The 22644-nt window shown below is 37.7% G+C and overlaps 1 long non-coding RNA gene across 1 annotated transcript; it reads left to right on the forward strand.

The window, feature by feature from the left end:
• The first annotated feature begins 1581 nt into the window (after window positions 1-1581).
• On the forward strand, window positions 1582-3785 carry LINC02148 (long intergenic non-protein coding RNA 2148). The gene is made up of 2 exons (NR_104609.1): window positions 1582-1735; window positions 2721-3785. It is a non-coding gene; the product is annotated as a long intergenic non-protein coding RNA 2148 (long non-coding RNA).
• The last annotated feature ends 18859 nt before the right edge of the window (window positions 3786-22644 follow it).

The raw sequence follows: 22644 nt of genomic DNA on the forward strand, positions 1-22644 counted from the left end.
CTTACACATTAATTACTTCAAACAAATTTCATAAACACAAACCAGAAAATTTTTCTTAGTATTTTCTAAATGAAAACAATCAATTCATCTCCTTACAAATATCCATCTCCCATTTATTTAGGTATTTGTTTATATCATATAGTACAGCTTTTAATATCATATTTCATCAAATCTAGTACAATGTTAATATTAAATGATCATTATTTTATATACAATTTAAAGAGAGAAACCACTGTTTAATTATGAGATAATATAAATTATATCTATTTTAATTTCAAAGATGATAAAATTTAAAATAAGTGCATCATAAAATCAATGAAATACGGTAATTCTTGTCTTCATGATGATCTAATTTATAAGGACTTTTTTTTGTGCCTAAACTTGCCATCAGTTAATTTCTTACATATTTAGTGGCTTGCTTTGTTTAGATTTGACTAATAGTGAATATTTAATTGAAGAACCATAGGTACACAAACATGCAAAATTTCTAACTGCACAACACAATGAACTATCACAAACTGAACACCCCATATAAAAAGCACCCAAATCAAGGATCAGAACATTACCGATACTTCAGAAACTCTCTTTGTGCCTCCTACTATTCACTATTCTTCTCCTAAGGCAAATTCCTATGCTGATTGCTAACAGCCAAAGATTAGTTTTGCCAGGTTTTGACCTTGTATAAATGGAAGTGTATACCATACACATTTGTATACTGTGTACTCGTTAGTATCTAGCTTTGTTTACTCAACATTACATTTGTGAGATTCATTCTTTTGTTGTAGATATAGAGCTTCATTCTAATTGTGATGTGATATTCCACAGCATAATAAATATTCCACTGTATAATAACATATTTATCCATTGCACTATTATTGGGCATTTGAGTTTACATATTCTATTTATAAAGTACTAATTTTCTTTGAAAATAACTCTAGAAATAAATTGTTACCTCATTGTATGCTTAAGAAATAAAACATGCCTCTCCCTCTCACCTCTCCCCTCTCCTCTCTCCCCTGTCTCCCTCTCCCCACGGGCTCCCTCTCCCTCTCTTTGCACGGTCTCCCTCTGATGCCCAGCCGAAGCTGGACTGTACTGGCCGCCATCTCTGCTCACTGCAACCTCCCTCCCTGATTCTCCTGCCTCAACCTGCCGAATGCCTGCGATTGCAGGCGCACACCGCCACGCCTGACTGGTCTTCGTATTTTTTTGGTGGAGACGGGGTTTCACTGTGTTGGCCGGGCTAGTCTCCAGCTCCTAACCGCGAGTGATCTGCCAGCCTCGGCCTCCCGAGGTGCCGGGATTGCAGATGGAGTCTCGTTCACTCAGTGCTCAATGTTGCCCAGGCTGGAGTGCAGTGGCGTGATCTCGGCTCGCTACAACCTCCACCTCCCAGCCGCCTGCCTTGGCCTCCCAAAGTGCCGAGATTGCAGTCTCTGCCCGGCCGCCACCCCGTCTGGGAAGTGAGAAGCGTCTCTGCCTGGCCGCCCATCGTCTGGGATGTGAGGAGCCCCTCTGCCCGGCTGCCCAGTCTGGGAAGTGAGGAGCGCCTCCTCCCGGCCACCATCCCGTCCAGGAAGTGAGGAGCGTCTCTGCCCGGCCGCCCATCGTCTGAGATGTGGGGAGCTCCTCTGCCCCGCCGCCCTGTCTGGGATGTGAGGAGCGCCTCTGCCCGGCCGCGACCCCGTCTGGGAACTGATGAGTGTCTCTGCCCGATCGCCACCCCATCTGGGAGGTGAGGAGCGTCTCTGCCCAGCCGCCCCGTCTGAGAAGTGAGGAGCCCCTCCGCCCGGCAGCCACCCTGTCTGGGAAGTGAGGAGCGTCTCCGCCTGGCAGCCACCCCGTCCAGCAGCCGCCCCATCCAGGAGGGAGGTGGGGGGTCAGCCCCCGCCCGGCCAGCCGCCCCGTCCGGGAGGGAGGTGGGGGGTCAGCCCCCGCCCGGCCAGCCGCCCCGTCCGGGAGGGAGGTGGGGGGTCAGCCCCCGCCCGGCCGCCCCTTCTGGGAAGTGAGGAGCCCCTCTGCCCGGCCACCACCCCGTCTGGGAGGTGTACCCAACAGCTCATTGAGAACGAGCCATGATGACGATGGCGGTTTTGTGGAATAGAGTCGGGGGAGAGGTGGGGAGGGGATGGGGAAATCAGATTGTTGCTGTGTCTGTGTAGAAAGAGGTAGACATGGGAGACTTCATTTTGTTCTGTACTAAGAAAAATTCTTCTGCCTTGGGATGCTGGTGATCTATGACCTTACCCCCAACCCTGTGCTCTCTGAAACATGTGCTGTGTCCACTCAGGGTTAAATGGATTAAGGGCGGTGCAAGATGTGCTTTGTTAAACAGACGGTTGGAGGCAGCATGCTCGTTGGGAGTCATCACCACTCCCTAATCTCAAGTACCCAGGGACACAAACACTGCGGAAGGCCGCAGGGTCCTCTGCCTAGGAAAACCAGAGACCTTTGTTCACTTGTTTATCTGCTGACCTTCCCTCCACTATTGTCCTATGACCCTGCCAAATCCCCCTCTGTGAGAAACACCCAAGAATGATCAATAAAAATAAATGAATAAATAAATAAATAAAAGAAAAAAAAAAGAGGAGGGGAAGAGTAAGAGATACCAGAGATTAATACTTCTCTCTCTCTCTCTCTGTCCATCATTCTCTCTCTCTCTCTGTCTCCTTCTCTCTCTCTCTCTCTCTCTCCTTCTATCTCCCTCCACCTGTACACAGAGGAAAGGCCATGTAAGGACAGAGCAAACAGGCAACTGTCTGCAAACCAGGAAGAGAGGCCTCACCAGATATCAACCTTCATGGCACCTTGATCTTGATCTTTCCAGACTGTGAGAAAATTAACTTCTGTTGTTGTTTAAGCTGCCCTCCAACTCCGTCTGTAGTATTTTGTTACGGCAGCCCAAACAGACTAATACATCAAGTAACCACACAAATGCATGTACAATTAAAACTGACCTAACTGTTAAGAAGAGGAGATAGGGCAAGAGTATATTTATCGAGGGTATTCTATCTGGTCAGAGATGAGAGAGAAAGATTTTTCTGGGTAAAGTTAACAAGGTATATAGGGTGGGGTGAATATGGAGTGGGGAATGGTCCCAGATAGGGCCAATTGCTTGTGCAAAGGCCCTGGGGTGAGACAGAGCACAGTTTATTAGAGAAACCAAGTGGCAGCTGTGTGATTGGGGTGCTAAGAGTGAAGAGGAAGGTGATACAGGTGAGGGTGGAGAAGAGGGTGAGGCCTAACTTCCCAGGACCATGCAGGATTTTCACTGCTAACTTGGGCCACTTGCACACCAGACTGGAGCTGGAAATGGTGGGTATGGGAGACAGAGATCAAAATAACCTCTAGATGTCCACTTGCATAGCTGGTAGGTCACGGGACCATTCATGATAGGGAAGCCCAGGAGAGAACCAGATTTCAAAGAGAAAGTCATGAATTTGCACGTGTCAAGCTTGTTGTGCTTTTGAGTCACTTAGAAAGAGACATTTGTTTGCGGACCTATCTACAAGTCTAGACTCAGACAGAGACCTGAGTCATGTCATTACACTGACAAGGTGGGAGAGGTGATTCGGGACAGTCATTCTCAGACTTTGAGTTTCAAGACCCCTTTACACTCTTAAAAACCATCAAGGACCTCAAAGAGCTTCTGTTTATGTGGGTTATATCTGTCCATATTTACTGTATTAGAAATGTAAACTGAAATATTAATATTAATTTATAATAAACCTGTTTTACCTTAACATAAAAAAAAGAAATAAAACATGCAAAAATATTTTACTACAGATTAATTTTGTTCTGAAATTTTATCTTGGTATATAACAATAGTAACATTTTATCTATATATTTGTTTCCCAAGATCAAGAAGAGAATTCACGCAAAGCCATGGATTAGTCTGGGTTAATGCCATGAATTGAAGAGGCTTCCCTTCTGAAATATTGCATGGGATCAGAGGGGTTTCTTACCTCGGACACCAAGTGTCACTACCACAGATTTTTTTTTTCTTTTTTGTGCTTCTTTATTTATTTATTTTTCCTCCATTGTCTCCTTTACTTTCCCAATAATAATGGCACCTTAAAATGTCCTCAAGCTGCTTAATTTAGTGGTGGAATGCTCCTAAGATTTAAAAATCTGTATCTATAAATATAAGATTTGACAGATTAAGAAGGAACAGTGCTGGGCATGGTGGCTCACAACTGTAGTCCCAACAATTTGGGAGGCCAGAGGTGGAAGAATTGTTTGAGCCAAGAGTTTGAGAACAGCCTGGGCAACAAAGCGAGACCTTGTCTCTACAGACAATAATACTATGAAAAAATTAGCCGGGTGTGGTTGTGTGTGCCTATAGTCCCAGCTACTCCAAAGGCTGAGGTGGGGGATTTGCTTGAGCCCAGGAGGTTGAGGCTGCAGTGAGCCATGTTCACGCCACTGCATGCCAGCCTAGGTGACAGAGTGGGACCCTGCCTCTAAAACAAACAAACAAAAAAAACCAAACCAAACAAACAAACAAAACAGAAAGAAAGAAGGAACAATGATCATATTTTAACAATAAGTTGTTTACCATTTCATAAAATGAAGACTAAATCACTGAATAAATAATAAAATGAACGAACAAATCAGCATAAATTCTACTTTACTAAATTCTCCAATGTTCAAAAATATTTGAATGTTTATGTTCATTTCTGAAAGATCAGTTTCTGATTAAAGTATCACTGCCAGCAGACAGTCTTTCAAAATAAGTAGGAAAGTGTAAGAGAAAGTAAATTCTTCAAATCTGCCCTCTAAACATGTTCTCTATTCTACATACACCACTGTGTCATCAGGGAAAATAAAGGCAGCCCCTGCCTTCGTGCCTCCAGTCACTCATGCTCAAGATGAACATGGAGGCTGCATGGAGCTACGGAGCCAAAACAGGCTTTCAAAGCAGCAGGCGCCAGCTTGGGTAACTTATCTAATTTCCATGAGCTTCAACTTTCTCATCTAGAAAATGGGAATAATAATGCCACCTTCATACGACTGTGGTGAAGAGCTGACGTGGACAGCATCAAGAGCAGCTGCAGTTTTCATTTCCTTTAGCCAATGGTAGGAACATCGTTTCCATCTCCTATGAGATCAGCAAGTTTTAAACACTTTTATCAGAACCGTCCTTTTATCAAATGAAATCTTAAAAAAAAAAACTATAAGCAATTTAATTAGTTGAAAGCAAGGTGCAGTTTGAAATACGTACTGAAATGGTTCTTCCATAGATCATAGTGGAGGAAAATAGCCAAATTTTTTACCACGTAGCAAGATACTCTGTGCACTTCAGAAAAATTGTAAGCCTTCTTTTCAACAAAATTCTATTTTTTTAACCTTTATTTTAGGTTCGGGATACATGTGCAGGTTTGTAATATGGATAAATAGTATGTTGTGGGCATTTGGTGTACAGATTATTTCACCATGTAGGTAATAAGCATAGTACCAGATAGGTAGGTTTTCAATTCTCACTACCTTCCCAGCCTCTGCCCTTCTCATATCTATTGTTCTCATCTTTGTGTCCATGTATACACAATGTTTAGCTCCCACTTATAAGTGAGAATATGCAGTATTTGGTTTTCTGTTCCTGTGCTAGTTCACTCAGGATAATGGCCTCCAGCACCATCCGTGTTGCTGCAAAGGACATGATCTTGTTCTTTTTTGTGGCTGTGTACTATTTCATGATACCATGAAATAGTATATATGTACCACATTTTTCTTATCTATTCTACCGTTGATGGGCATTTAGGTTGATTCCGTGTCTTTGTTATTGTGAATACTGCTGCAACTGAACATACGTACGCATATGTTTTTATGACAGAATGATTTATATTCCTTTGAGTACATAACCAATAATGGGATTTCTGGGTTGAATGGTAGTTCTGTTAAATTCTCTGAGAAATCGCCAAACTGCCTCTCACGATGGCTGAAGTAATTTATATTCCCACCAGCAGTGTATAAGCATTCCCTTTACTCTGCAAGCTCACCAGCATCTATTGTTTATATGACTTTTTAATAATAGCCCTTCTGACTTGTATGAGATAGTATCTCATGGTTTTTGGTTTGCATTTCTCTAATGATTAGTGATGTTGGGCATTTCTTCATATACTTATTGGCTGCATGTATGCCTTCTTTTGAAGTGTCTATCCCCTCCTTTGCCCATTTTGTAATGAGAATTTTTTTGGTTGTAGATTTAAGTTCCTTACAGATTCTGGATATTAGACCTTTGTTGGATGCACAGTTTGCAAATATGGTCTCCCTTTCTGTAGGTTATCTCTTTCCTCTGTTGATAGTTTATTTTGCTGTGCAGAAGTTCATTGGTTTAATTAGATCCCATTTGTCAATTTCTATTTTTGTTGCAATTACTTTTGCCATCTTTATCATGAAATCTTTGCCAGGTCCTATGTCTAGAATGGTATTTCCTAGGTTGCCTTCCAGGCTTTTTATAGTTTTAGGTTTTACATTTAAGTCTTTAATCCATCTTGCATTGATTTTTTATACGGTTTAAGGAAGGGGTCCAGTTTCAATCACCTGTGTATGGCTAGCCAATCATCCCAGCACCATTTATTGAACAGGGAATCCTTTCCCTGTTGCTTTTGTTGACTTTGTTGAAGATTAGATAGTTGTAGGTGTGCAGCCTTATGTCTGAGTTACTATTTTCCATGAGTTTATGTGTCTGTTTTTGTACCAGTAGCATGCAGTTTGGGTTACTGTACCCTTGCAGTATATTTTGAAATTAGGTAGTATGATACCTCCACGTTGTTCTTTTGCTTAGGATTGCCTTGCCTATTTTGGCTGTGTTTCACAAATTTTAAAAAAGTTTTTTTTTTTCTAATTCTGTGAAGAATGTCATTGGTAGTTTGCTAGGAATAGCACTGAATATGTAAATTGCTTTGGACAGTATGGCCATTTTAACAATGTTGATTTTTTCCTATCCATGAGCATAGAATGTTTTTCCATTATTTGTCATCTCTGATTTCTTTGAGCAGTGAAAGATTGTATTGAGACATCCCTACAAATCTCATTCTCATTGTAGAGATCTTTCACCTCCATGGCTAGCTGTACTCCTAGGTATTTTATGCTTTTTGTGGCAATTGTGAATGGAATTGTGATCTTGATTCGGCTCTCAGCTTGAATATTGTTTGTGTATTGAAGTGCTACTGATTTTTCTACATTGATTTTGTATCTTGAAACTGCTGAGGTTGTTTATCAGATCAAGGAGCTTTGGGGCAGAGACTATGGGGTTTTCTTGATATAGAATCATATTGTCTGCAAACAGAGATAGTTTGACTCCCTCTCTTCCTACTTAGATGCCTTTCATTTCTTTCTCTTGCCTGATCACTCTGGCTTCAACATCCAGTACTACGCTGAAAAGGAATGGTGAGAGAGGGCATCGTCATCTTGTTCTGGAAGGGGAATGCTTCCAGCTTTTGCCTGTTTAGTATGATGTTGCTGTGGGCTTGCCATAGATGACACTTATTATTTTGAAGTATTTCCCTTCAAGGCCTAATTTATTTTCATACAAAAGATGTTGAATTTCATCAAAAGCCTTTTCTGCTTCTATTGAGGTAATCATTTGTTTTTCTTTTAGTTCTATTTATACAATGAATCACATTTATTGATCTGTATATATTCAACCAACCTTGCATCCCAGGAATAAAGCCTACTTGATTATGACAGATTAGTTTTTTGATGTGCTCCTGAATTTGGTTTGCAAGTATTTTGTTGAGGATTTTTACATCTATGTTCATAAAGAATGTTGACCTCTAGTTTTCTTTTTTTAGTTGTACCTCTGACAGGTTTTGGTATCAGGATGATGCTGGTCTCAAAGAATGAGTTAGGGAGAAGTTCCTGCTAAATTTTTGGAATAGTTTCAGTAAAAATTGTACCAACTCTTCTTTGTATGTCTGCTAGAATTCAGCTGTAAATTTCCGGGTCCTGGGCTTTTTTTGTTGGTAGGGTTTTTTATTACTGATTCATTTTTCAGAACTCACTATTGCTCTGTTCAAGAATTCAACTTTTTCCTGGTTCAATTTTGGAAGGTTTTATATGTCTAGGAATTTATCTATTTTTTGTAGGATTCCTAGCTTGTGTACATAGAGGTGTTCATAGCAGTTTTGGAAGGTTTTTGTATTTCTGTGAGGTCAATGGTAATGTCTCCTTTGTCATTTCTGACTGTGTTTATTGGGATCTTCTCTTTTTCTTTATTAGTCTAGCTAGCAGTCTATTTACCTTATGCATTCTTTCAGAGAAGTATTGGACTTATGGATCTTTTGTATGGTTTTTTGTGTCTCAATTTCCTTCAGTTCAGCTCTAACTGCTTGTTTCTTGTCTTTTGCTAGCTTTGGGGTCAGTTTGAGCTTGTTTCTTTAGTTCCTCTAGGTGTGATGTTAATTTGAGATCTAATTTTTGATGTGGCTATTTAGCATTATAAACTTCATTCTTAACACTGCTTTAGTTGTATCCCAGAGATTCTGGTATGTTGTATCTTTGTTCTCACTAATTTCAAAGAATTTTTTTATTTCTGCCTTAATTTCATTGTTTACTCAAAAGACATTCAGGAACAGGTAGCTTAATTTCTATCTAATTGTAAGGTTTTGAGCAATGTTCTTAGTATTTATTTCTATTTTTACTGCACTGTAATCTCAGGGGGTGGTTGGTATGATTTTGTTTTATTTGAATTTGCTAAGGATTGTTTTATGGCCAATAATAAGGTTGATTTTAGAGTGTGTGTCATGTGCAGATGAGAAGAATGTATATTCTGTTAAGAGTTCTGTAGATACATATTATGTTCATTTGATCAAGTGTCAAGTTCAGGTTCTGAATATCTTTGTTAGTTTTCTGCCTTGATGATCTGTCTAATACTGTCAGTATGGTGTTGAAGTCTCCCACTATTATTGCATGGTTATCTAAGTCTCTACATAAGCCTCTAAGAACTAGCTTTATAAATCTGGGTGCTCCTGTGTTGGATACACATATATTTGAATAGTTAGGTCTTCTTGTTGGATTGAATCCTTTCCCAATATGTAATGTCCTTTATTTGTCTTTTTTGATCTTTGTTGGCTTGAAATCTGTTTTGTGTGAAATTAGAATAACAAGCCCAGCTTTTTGTTTTCTATTTGCTTAGATTTCTCTCCATCCTTTTACTTTGAGCCTATGGAACTCATTGCATATGAGATGGATCTCTCAAAGATAGTATACCATTGGGTCTTGTTTCTTTATCCAACTTCCCGCTCTGTGTTTTTTAACTGGGGTATTTAGCCCATTTACATTCAAGGTTAATATTGATATGTGCAGATTTGACCCTGCCATTGTGTTGTTAGCTGATAATTATGCAGACCTGCTTGTGTGGTTGCTTTATAGTGTCATTGGTCTATGTACTTAAGTGTGTTTTTGTGGTGACTGGTATTGGTCTTTCATTTCTATATTTAGCAGTCCCTACAAGACCTCTTATAAGACAGGTCTGGTGGTAGCAAATTCTCTTAGTATTTGCTTGTCTGAAATTAATTTTATTTCTTCTTTGCTTATGAAGCTTACTTTGGCTGAATAAGAAATTCTTGGTTATAATTTCTTTTCTTTAAGTATGCTTAATATAGGCTCTCCAATCTTTTCTGTCTTGAGAGTTTCTGCTGAATTGTCCACTGTTAGCCTGATGGGGCCCTCTTTGTGAGTGACCCTCTCCTTCTCTCTAGCTGCCGTGAACATTTTTTTCTTTCATTTCAACCTCGGAGAATCTGATGACTATGTGTCTTGGGGATGGTCGTCTTGTATAGTATCTCAAGGGGTTCTCTGCATTTCCTAAATTTGAATGCTGTCTTCTCTAATGAAGTTGGGGAAATTTTTATGGACAATATCCTAAAATATGTTTTTCAAGTTACTTGCTTTCCCTCCCTGTCTTTCAGGGATGTTAATGAGACATAGATTTGGAGGTTTTGTTCATTCTTCTTTCATCTTTTTACTTTATTTTTGTCGAGTTATTTCAGAGAACCGGTCTTCAAGTTCTGAGATTCTTTCCTCAGCTTGGGTGATTCTGCTCTTAATACTTGAGATTGTATTCCAAAATTCTTGAAATGAGTGTTTCAGCTCTATCAGATCAGTTTGGCTCTTTTTTAAAATGGCCATTTTGTCTTTCATCTCCTGTATCATTTTCTTCTATTCCTGATAATCTTTGGATTGGGTTCTGAATTTCTCCTGAATCTCAAGGATCTTCATTTCTCTCCATACTGTGAGTTCCATTTCTGTCATTTCAACCATTTCAGCCAGGCTAAGAACCATCATTGCTGGGGAACTAGTGTAGTTGTTTGGAGGTAAGAAGACACTCTGGCTTTTTGAGTTGCTAGAGTTCTTGCCCTTGTTCTCTCTCATCTGTGTGGATTGATGTTCCTTCAGTCTTTGAAGTTGCTGTCCTTTTGTCCTTTGGATGGTTTTTTGTTTGTTTGTTTTTGTTTTTTGTGCTTTTATCTTTTTTTATGCCCTTGGGGTTTTATTGTGGTACAAGGTGGGTTCAGTCAACTGGCTTTGTTTCTGGAAGATTTTAGAGGGGCAAAGCTCAGCTCTGCAATCCTGGGCTGCATCCTTTAACTCTGGGAGGTTGGTATTGAGCCCCTGGCTTTGTTCTTTAGCACCTCAAGATTAACCTGCTGCATTGGGGCAGCCTTCCCTTTCCTGCTGGAAAGGGAAGCAGGCAGCGAGGTGTTCCCAGACCGCTGGCCCTGGCACTCCGATGAGTGGTGCCAAAGCAAGGCACTTTGTTGGGGTCAGGATTCATGCTCTTTGGTGTGTAAGTAGTGGCAGCACAGCGGGGTACACATGTCAGCTGGGGTTGGGTACCAATGGAATATAGCTGCTGCATTCCTGCTTGCTTACACAGGTGGTTGTGGCGGAGGCAAGGGTGGCACACTGGCAGGCCTAGGGCTACTGGCCTCACTGCATGCCTTTGAAGTGCTGGTGGTGATGGGACAGGGGAACATAATTCTTTTGAAAAATAATTTTCACAGAAAATCTCTCATTTATTAGCTGAATTCCAGTATCTGCCAACCATTACAGACAAGAATACATCTTAAAGTTGCATCATCCAACCTATTGTTAGTATTGAAATGAAGCCTCTTTCTCTTTCCCTTGAAGTGGAATCATAAACACGTACACACATACTGGCACATGTGTATCATCTGTTGTAAGCTTATTACATCTCCCTATCACCCTCAAACTCTTGGGATTCAATAACTGGAATTTCTTTAGCATGTCTTTATAGATCTACTTATTCTTCATTTTCATCACCCTTCTTTGAGATATTTTAGCTCTCTATATCTCACTTCAGATTCTTAAAACTTGGAAGAAATGCTCCTCATTAAAGAGAGAAACTCAGTCCCCAAAAAACAAAGTCAGCCAAACATCTACAACCAAAACTGACTTTGGTAGGGTGTGCAGAAGGAGATGACACCTAATGAGACAGAGAAAGATGCAATTTAAAATCTGTCTCTCAACACAAATACTTAATTTTTAGCTTTGGTAGCCCATTTATACTATGTCACACCAATACAGTTAGAGAAATTGAAGCTGAAATTAATCTATTTCCTCTCAGCTCTGAGCCTGTCCCTTTCTAATCTTGTATAAGTAATCGTTGATTCAGATATCCTGTTATTTATGATGCTGTATCCTAGAAAATACACTCTTTGCTTAAAGCAAATGAGTTATAAACAGTTTTGCGGGTCAAATCAAACCACTCACTAAAGATGAGATTCATTAGAAGTGGAAAAGGACTGCATATATTGAAACCTCCTGCATGTCAGGCTCTAACTTAGACTTGTTATCTTATTTAACATACATAAATACACACACACACACACACACACATACACACAGAGAGAGAGAGAGATGGTTTGGCTGTCTCCCCACTTAAATCTCATCTTGAATTGCAATCCCCATAATCCCCAGAGGGAGGGACCCAAAGAGAGGCAATTGGATTATGGGGCAGTTCCCCCCCCATAATGATATCACTCATGATAGTGAGTTCTTAAGAGATCTGATAGTTTTATAAGTGTTTGACAGCTCCTCCTTCACATGCTCTCTCTTGCCTGCTGCCATGTAAGACATGCCTTCTTCTCCTTCCCCCATGACTGTAAGTTTCCTGAGGCCTCCCCAGCCATGCAGAACAAAGTCAATGAAACCTCCCTTCTTTATAAGCTCCCCAGTCTCAGGTAGTATCTTCATAGCAGAGAACAGACTAATAGAGTAACACCAAGTAGGTAAGAGTGCTATTTTAAAAAATAAGTAAACTGGGCTCAGAGAATTTGAGCAGTATCTCCTAGGGCACACAACTATTAAGAGGTTGATCTAGAAAACAAGTCATACTGACTCCAAAGTCAATGATTTGGGGAAGGAATGAAATAGTAAGGTAGTATAAAGACTATTTCCAGAACTATACCAGGAACATCCCAACTGAAATACACATTCAGTGTAGTGACCACTTTGCAGTAGGTTAATGAATAAAAAGTGTTATGAATGTCTGGGAGTTCCCCACCAACACCCTTGACAGCCAGTCCTGAAAGCCACAGCATTCTCATTACGTGGATAGAAGGCAGGCATATTTTCAGAAGAGAATTCCCATCAAGCTGAGAACTGTCTTAGCAGGCAGATAAGAGCTTCATGCAGCTCCCTGTCCTCTTGCCCTGCCAATCACATCCCATGTGCAGACAGCCTAAAAAAAGCCATTCCACAAATTACGAGAAGAAAAGAGGCTCTGTGAATGACTCTGCTTTGCTATTCTCCATGTGCCTAATGCATAGGTCCTCAAGAACTAGTCAGCAGCTACCATTCACTTAATGTGGCTTATATCTTGGTAATCTCATGTAATAGGATTTTGCATCTACAATGTTAATAAAATGCCAAGTCTCAAAAGGAGTTGAAGTGAAGTAATATTCTTTTTAATTCAAAAGTCTTGCTACACATCTGTGCTTTACAATTATTTGTCTAAAACAAATCGACTCATCAGTTAATTTCCTTAACTAAAGTAGTACATAAATTAGAATATCAATTACTAAAGAATAATGACATCAAAGTTACGGATTTAGCCATTTTATTGACTCAAAATGGATCTTTTCCTTGAGAAATATCAATAACTAAAACTATGACTAAGACAGTTAATAACAATTAATGCATAAAGTCAGAGACCAAATCACTTTTAGCCCTGTTACAAGCATTGCCTGGTCACTAGTTTGATTTTTGACCTTGTTAATATGGATGTCAGAGGGCATGAGGGTATACCATGTCACTTTAAAACCTAATTCTTCATGCCTAAATGGCCCTTCACCATACAATGGATGGAAAGCAGTAAATTGTATATTCCAAGCACTTCTGGTAGTATTTTTTATAAGAGAAGCTCATAGATTTTTCTGGGTTTTTTTGTTTTGTTTTGCATTGGTTTTGCTTTTATCAAATCTTTGATTTAAACTATGTTAGATTATGCTGAAAGAAAAGCAACAGTATCAGGTTAAGTTTTCAGGGGTAAAATATGCTTATAAATAAAATAGTCCCTAACGTAAAAGAGACAATGTGAAGACATCTCAAGAGAAGATGTGAAGACATCTCAAGAGAAGATATAAAGACAGTATTACAAAGAAGAAAAATAGGCATTAAATTAGGTGACATGCCTTGGACAAGAAAAGGGAACCAAAGAGCAAAGTGTTAGAGAGGGGCTGGAAAAGGGAAACGTTCAGGCAGTTCTGAGCCCTCTTTTATTCTTCCAGGGCTGAGTAGGAGTGCTACAGAAAACACTGGAAATGTGAGAATAGGATCTCCTAGGAAAATGAGAACATAATTTTCTTCCTGCATTAGAATCACTAATAACTTTCATATAGCTCTTGCAGTTAAACGCACACACACACTTACATACACACTCCTTATTAAGAAATTAATGTAATTATCATCCCCATTTAAAAGATGAGAAGCCCAGTTATTAGTGATTAATTTATTTGCCCAAGTTAACCCAGCTAGTCAGAATTAGAATTCTGGCTTGAGCTCTGGTTTGCAATATCAAATATTGTGTTTTTTTTCCCATTACACCATGTTATTCTTAATTAGCAATTGTTTGTGTGGCAAGAGAGAACACAAAAGTGATTGCTTTTTCTGCCTTTTCCCTGCTACGGAGTAAGGATACTTTTGCTGGAACAGATTCAAGAAATGCAGGGGAAAAACGAAGCCTTAATATCCACAGAGGTTAAGAAGATCTACATAATAAAAAGCAAAGGTTAGGGGCTTGGGACGGAGACAGCAGCTCTATTGGCTCAGCTTAGGAGGCAACGTGAGGGCGACAAGGAATTCTTTTCCTACTCTAAGAGTGTCTGCAATAAATTCTGTATAAATTTTAAGTAGTAGCTTTGAGCATTAATGTAATAATCTGTTGTTTTTTTAAATAGATGTTGCCATACTTTGGGAATATATATATATATATAATGAAATACATGTATTTCGTTTTGCTTACTGAACTGCTATTACTTTGGCTCCATACTAACATTAGACCACATGGACTCTAGGCTTATGTGGGCTTCCTTTGTGTAATATATCTTTTTAATATTCTGGTAGTAATGGTAAAATGTAAAAGCCAATACTGGAAAATTTTACAAAATAATAAAGTTAAAACAGAAACTGTGCAAATATACAGTAAACCAAAGCCTCCAGTCTTCTTTTTTTCCCTGAACAACTTCTACCATTGGTCAAAATGGTCTATGTTTTGTTACTTGAAGGTACTGCAGACCTTTCTGGCTTCCTATCTTTGCTCCAGTTTTCCTTTAGGAATGGCTTCTTGTGCTTTTCCAGATGAACACCATGCATCTTAATTTATAGATCTCTTCTTTAACTAAGAACTCCTTAAGAAATGCATGTGTTCATTTTGCAGGAATTCATTGAATTGTGGGGGATGCGTAAAATAAGAGATAGAAACTTAAAGGGAGTTTACTACCTATTTGGAGATGCTATATGGAAGTAGAGAGTAGGGAACAGCCATATCCATTTCAAAGTAACCTACATAAAGTAGAAATCTTAAGACCCTTTGGATAAGTGAATCTTCTTTAGGTATTTTGATCACTTCCACTGAGTGTAAGGCAGCTGGAAAGATGATTCAAGGGCTCATTAGCTGATTGTCAAAGCAAAATCATTCCTAGCTTTAGCCATTTGAAAATCAAGCAGAGGAACTGGGAAGATTGCCCAGCAGGCAGCAAAGAGATGTTTCTACCACGAGACGATGAAAGAGATTTGAATATTATAAATTTAATTGCAGTCTTCATTTCTGAGCCTCCTACTGACCATAGACATTGAAAGAATTGGTCTTGTTTGTGACTCTACTAATACAAGGTCCTGATATTAGTCAAGCAATCAAATGAAGTTTCCTACATGTACTTACTTTATGCCAAGCCAACAGTTTAACAACTCAGGGTAGCAAACTGAAAAGGCTACTCTACCCAACACAGAAAAGCATGAAAGTGTGAATAGTGTATTCACACACTAGGGACAACAGGATGATGCTGTCTTATTCCCTCAATAAGTTCAGTGAATTCTTGTCCAGTGTTATGCCATCCTCTCTAGGTTTTATTTTCTTTGTGTCATGTTGGACTCCACGGATTTCTAAGCAACAGACAAAGGTAATAATCTCCTTCTTATGATGCTATAAATACAGAGCCACCTGTTTGATTCCAAAAGGAAGGTAAAGTTCCTTTTAGATAATGGTAGAAATCCAGGTAAGGTGATATGCACTGGAATACTTTAAAAATACACTGATATACAAGGAATATGGGAACAGAATCTAGAAAATTGTGAACAAGAAATAAGCACCCTGGTGAAGAAAAATCAAACCTCCCTAAGTACAACTTTTTCCAGGAAAGCTATAATATAAATATTGAACAAATTTGGATTCAAGACTACGTTTTTAACATAGTTAACTGTATTGCTTTCAATTAAAATATGGTTCATATTTTATTGGTATATTAGGAATTTAAAGTGATTGTCCAATTTAGAAAAAATGCAGATACATTACAGACATTTCTTTTTTTAATGCTGTCTCCTACTTTTATATTAAACTGTTCAACTGCTGTCTAATATCTGTCCTCCATCCCCCCAGTTTCTGGCCTCTAAACAGCAGCAAACCGACTTACGTGACATTCAGTGTCTTCTCTTCTCTCTGCTCAACCCCTAGTAAGCCACAACTAGTCAGTTCAAGTGAGAAAATACAAGTAAAAGGCAAATAAAGTGTATCAATTTTTATCCCTGAACAGTCAAGCAGGGACTAAAGTGTCTTCCAGAAATTGTCTTTTGTAACTAGAAATCTAGATATTTGAAAAACTAGAATAAAATTTGGCCACATAAAAAATGCCCCATTTAAAGTTGTGTTATAAGTAATTTGTATTAATTTGGGACCATAACTTTTATGCTGCTATGTGCATGGCAAAAGATAAAAAAGGCAATGTTTCAAAAAATTAATAGTGTTATTTCTACAGGGTAAGGTAATGTCACATACATCTACACATTTAAAATGAACAAGTATAATTTTAAAATTGGGGGAAAACACAGTAAGACACTTTGAGAACATATTGTCCTTGCATAAAAGACTTTTATGCAAATAAATTTTGTCTTGGTACAACAGTTCCAACAGAGTACAACTAAAACTCTACTTGATTCTAAAAGTGTATGTTCCTTTTGAATTTAATACTTAGCATTTATGACAGGATATACTTGAAGCAGTAAAAAAAAAAAAAGCACAATTTTGCCTTTGAAAAACAAAGTAGGTTTTCTCCACAGACAAAATGAATATAATAAAAGCCAAATGTTTTAACAGATGAGTAGAGAACTCATGATTGAAAAAAAAATACAGGAACTCAAAGTCATCTTCAAAGCAAGTAGTTTCCAGAATCATACAGTGTATGTAACAGACATTTGCAGAATTTTACTGAAGTATAATCCAACATATACAATGAATCTTTTCCAGTGAAAATAAACTTTGCCTGGGATCATAGTTATGACATATTTAATTATTTTCTGGATACTCAATTACACAATGATCAACTCCGATCCCTAAAATTGATAACATAAACACCCAATAAAATGATGACACAGTAGCTTAAATTTCAGAGGGTTTTCAAAGTCTTAAATAGTTGAAATGATTTCAGTTAGCATTGGTCTCCACAGGTCTCCAAATTTTTCACAAGACAAATACAACCTCAATAAATTTCAAGAAATATTTGCTTTTGCTATTTCCAACATGTGTCAAATTTTCTACGAAGACAGAGTTTGAAGAAAAATTTTTCTGGCCTTAGTTATTTATGCCAATTGGATTCACATCAATGATACTGAAAACTCTAAGCAGCTGTTTCTGGTTCTCACCAGACTTGCAACAAAATAAAAATTCCATCTGATTAGTATCAATGTAATTTTAAAACTAACACATTCATACAAAACAAGTCCAAGACAAAAATCCCCCTAAAGTCATCTTTTCCTGGGTTCCTGATTTAAGAAGCACAAAGCTACATATACTTAAGATCTGATCAGAAAAAAAAATAAGAAGTGATAAATTCAGCAACCTCTTTTGCTGCACATTGAGCACCTTTTCAGTAAAAGCTGTGGAATTACATGTTTTTGTTCTAGAAGTATCACGTGTGGGAGGGTAGAGCTAGAGAAGAAGTCAGAGCATAATAAGTATCTCAGAAATTTAAAATACTAGGCACTTTATATGTATTATCTAATGTAACCTTCCCAAAAGTTCTATGAAGTAAATATCATTATTTATTATTCCGATTTTATGGAAGAAGAAACTGAGGCAAAGAAGTTCCAGTGATCAGATCAGGTGGCACAGTTAGTAACTAGCAGAGCACAATTTAAGCCCAAATCTGTCTAATACCAAAGTCAAAGCTTCCAATGTATTAACTACCCTACCTTTCAAGAAAATGCACAGGGTCACGACTTTTCTATAAACTGGCGCTTTATTGTCCTAGCACAGCTCTGACTAAAATTTGTGTCTAGGGTATCAATATTTCTGTGAAACCTACATCTCCTCTCAGATTACTGATCTCTTTTTCCAGTTTCTAACCAAATGGAGAAAGGAATTATGATGTGAATTCCATAAAATTTACGTTATCAGGTTGCAAGAAGATGGGAGAGCAACTTTGTCTGTTCCCTTAGGTAGTTCCTAAAACCACTGAAACCAATCTAAAATACTTAGCTTTGTCATAGATCTCCCTCTCTCTCTCACACTCTCTATCTAGTCCAGCTTCTCTTGAAAAGAGGAAAGAGATCTGGCAGACCTGGTGAAGCATTTCTGCATACCAACAATTTTCAGGAAAATGGGCTTGAAGTCTGCAGTTCAGTGCAGCTGGTGTCACTCAGCTATTGCACCTGAAGTTTTGTTCTTCCCTAGTTGGTCCCATGGGTAGCTCTAGAGAATGTTAGTGTGCTTTAATGTATGTGATTCTAAGTATGTCTGCTCCTGACTTTTAAAGACATGACTTTTAAAACACCAAATTCGTATTTGAGCAATACCCAATTAATATTGTGGTGGTCATTTGTAATCCACATCATTTCCTGTTTGCTTTCCTGGGACATTGTAGCATTGTTCTTCCCTAGGTACTTGAGGTTATATGTGGCTATTAATTCGCCCTGGACAAAGAAATGTTACCGTAAGAGACACCTGGCAATTTTAGGAAGAAGCTTTAAGTGCTAGGCTGAGAATCACTACAGTTTTTATTTTCTTTGCTATATGAGGAGCTGCTCTGTGATCCTGAATACAGGCATAACGATGATGCCAAGCAGAGCCCACAGCAGCCTCAGTGGATATTTAACAAGGGAGAAAAATAAACCTGATGTCTTAAGCCATTAAGGTTTGATGGCTGTTTGCTACCACAAATAATGCCCCCTGTTTTGATGATTACCACCACATTATGAGTGGCAGATTATAATACCTTTGCAAAACCAGCCATCTGCTGCCTGCGGAATGTACTGGCTCACCTTTAATGTTCAGAATAAATAGCCCAGCATATACCTTGAAAGTGAAAAAGGAAGAAAGAAGGAGGAGGAAGAAGGAAGAAGAGGAGGAGGAGAAGGCAACTAAAGGCAGCAATCATTGGTAACATTGGCAGTATAGTGATAAGAGTATTCTTCCAAATATATTCCCAAGTGTTACTAGAATCACCATGGAGATTATAATACAACACAACCTAAGCTTACCTACGCCAGTGTAAGTTGTCATCATGTAAGACTTAGAATGTTGGACTAGGAGAAATCAAGGAAGCCACATTCTTATTTTATAGAGGAAGAAATCAAGGTCAGAAAGATATTCAGTGCTGTGAAATAGAGCTTTCTCCAGTGATGGAAATGATATTCTGTACTGTTTAGCATAGTAGCCATTATCTATGTGCCTTAAGGAGCACTTTCTGTATGGTGGCATAATGTGATACATCTATACAGGCAACTGAGAAATTGACTTTTAATTTTACTTCATTTTAATGTATAATAAATATTCTCATGTGACTGGTGACTACTGTATTGGACAACATAGGTTTAAATACTTTCCCAAAGTAATAAAAGTAGTTAGCATCAAGGTCAAGATTCAAAAGCAGTTCCTCTAAACCTCAGCTTAGAGTATTTTCTAAGTTTCCTAAGAATATGGAGCAGATTGGCTCTTATCCTTATACACATATGAACAGTAACATCTGTTTTCTTCTAGTACTACTGCTTTATACATGAATTCTCCTAGACTCTGCGCTAGTATCCCATAGTAACTTACTATTTTGCCATTCTCTATGCAGTTGTAAGTATGTGACTCTAAGTATATCTGCACCTGTCTATATGAGGCATGACCTTTACACAATGATTTTCTTTATCCTGCTGTAAACCTTAGACTTGGTAGTTGGCTTTGTGTCAAGTAACATGATTTCAGGAGTTCTCTAAAATGCTTACCTATACTCCCTTTTTATTAATTCAGGTTCTAAATAATGCTTCTCACTTTAATCTTCTCATTTTATCTTGCAAATTGATAGAATGATAAATAAGAGGTAAAGTATAAAAATATTTCATGAAAATTTCAATAAAGTGAATTCATACTGGTGTATTAAAGAGTGAGAGCTGATTCATTCCAGTGATGATTGATAAGTGAGGGAGTAGAATGTGATCATAGGCTTGCCATCAGTGCTATAATTTGTTTATTACTGAGCCCTTACTATGTGTACAAGCTTTTTACATATACTTAGTTCCAGGATCACAAAGAGGTAGATTCTGCTTATATCTCTATTTTATGTATTTCCAAAATCACATATCCAGTAAATGAAGCTTGGTTCAAAATCAGGCAGTGAGTCTATGCCATAATAGCCTAGGCAAAATAGACAATGTGAAAATATAAGGAACTAAGAACAAAAAAAATGAGTTTCTCTCCTGTATCTGCCATGAATTTGCTCCACAAAATTGTGCAAGAAACAACTCCCCCGAGCTCATTCCTTTATAGTAATAAAAATAGGTTGTTCTAGATGTCCTCTAAGGCAGCTAGAATACTAATAGAGTATGGAGGTGCAGATTCTAGTCCAAGCTAAAATCTCGTTGAGACCTTGGGCATTTTTCTTACTGTGCATCTTTTAGCCTGTAACTTGTCTGTAAAATGTTGCTAATATTGCCATTTTATAGATTTGTTGTAAAGATTAAATGAAGTATGCCGCTAAAGTACCTGGCATGGTGCCTACAACTATAGAAGCTTAGAAATTATAATGTCCTTTTCCCTTTTAGCACTAATATCCAAATATTCTAAGTGAAACTACCACATAAAACATTCCTTAGCCTTTCAGCAAACATTAATTAACTAAAAACACTACGTGTGATTCATTTACGATCAGGCTGTGGTATACAGCCTGATCTGCACCTGACTATATGACGCATGACCTTTACACAATGATTTTCTTTATCCTACTGTAAATCTTAGTCTTGGTAGGTGGCTTGGGTGTCAAGTAACATAATTTCAGGAATTATCTAAAATGCTTTCCTACACTCCATTGGTACCAATACAGGCAATATTGATATAAAGGGATTATATTGATACAAAGGGAACTACTAGCCATTACTTGTGCCTGTGATGTAACAAAGGCTGTACCACATCAGTGCATAAATCACAAGGTGTATCTATATGTAAGAAAAAGAAAATTATTTGCTGAATAGCAATGAAGTCTTAATACTCAAACTAGTACATGTGTGAAACACTAGTACATCTGTCAAGCAAAATGCAATGTAATAAGTCAAAAATTAATTTTAAGTATTCCATCATATAAAAAATGGTTATTATAAATTACATAGTATTTTCAAACATTCAAAGATTTGGGGACCAGAACTTTCCCAGATGTGGAGGGAGATAAGTACCTACAAGAACTCAATTGATAATGCATTTCAACTCAAAAGGAGAAGAGAGGATTTTTTTTCATCAATGATAAGGGGTACATATCATACAATGCAATAATAAAAAAAAGCAAAGTTGCCAACATAAGGAGGGATAGCATTAGGAGATATACCTAATGCTAAATGATGAGTTAATGGGTACAGCACACCAACATGGCACATGTATACATATGTAACAAACCTGCACATTGTGCACATGTACCCTAAAACTTAAAGTATAATAATAAAATTTTTAAAAAATGTAGCCAATCTCATCAACATTCCAAAGACTTTTTATAGAAATTTACAACTGATTCTAAAATTTATATAGGAATGCAGAAGATCTTGGAATAACCTAAGTGATTTTTTAAAAACAAGAACAAAGTTGGAGGATTTATCCTACCTGATTTCAAGACTCAGTATAAGCTATAGTAATCAAGATAGTTGGTATTAGCAAACGGCTAAATAGTTAGATCATTGGAGTAGCATCCAGAATTAAGCCCACACTTTCATGTTCAATGGATTCTTGATAAAGGTGTCAAGGTAGGTCAATAGGAAAATGAAAGTCTTTTAGCAAATTATGCTGAATCAACTAAATACCTGAGAGAAGAAAAATGAGCATCAATGCTTGTCTAATATCATATTAAAAATATTAACCTGAAATGGAACCTAGAAATGTATAGACATAGATATATAGAATACATATATAAAATCCAAACTACAAAATTTCTAGAAACAAAATCTTTGTGCCATTGGGAAAAACAATTCTTAGCAGAACACAGAAAGCATAAAACATTTTAAAAAGTTATAGTATGCATTTCATCAAAATTTACAAATTTTTGGTCATCAAAAAACCCCACTAAGAAAGGGAAGCCACAGACTTGGAGAAAATATTTACAACAAATATGTAAAACAAATCACTTGTATTCAGAATATGTAAAGTATGCTTAAAACTCACTAAAAGAAAAAATAATTTTTAAAATATTTGGACAGATATTTTACCAGAGATGATATATGATTGGTCAATAAGCACATGAAAGGATGTTCAATGTTACTTGTCATCACAGAAAAATGCAAATTAAAACTGCAATGAGATAACCTCTACATATTTGTTAGAATGGCTAAACTAAAAAGACTGTCCATATCGAGTGTTGGTGAGATGTGAAGCAGCTACAACTCTCGTACACTGCTGATGAAAATTCAGATTGGTATTTCCTAGACTTTTGAAAACTGTTTGAT

This window comes from Homo sapiens, chromosome 5, assembly GCF_000001405.40.
Source record: "Homo sapiens chromosome 5, GRCh38.p14 Primary Assembly".
In the NCBI taxonomy this organism is placed as follows: Eukaryota; Metazoa; Chordata; class Mammalia; order Primates; family Hominidae; genus Homo; species Homo sapiens.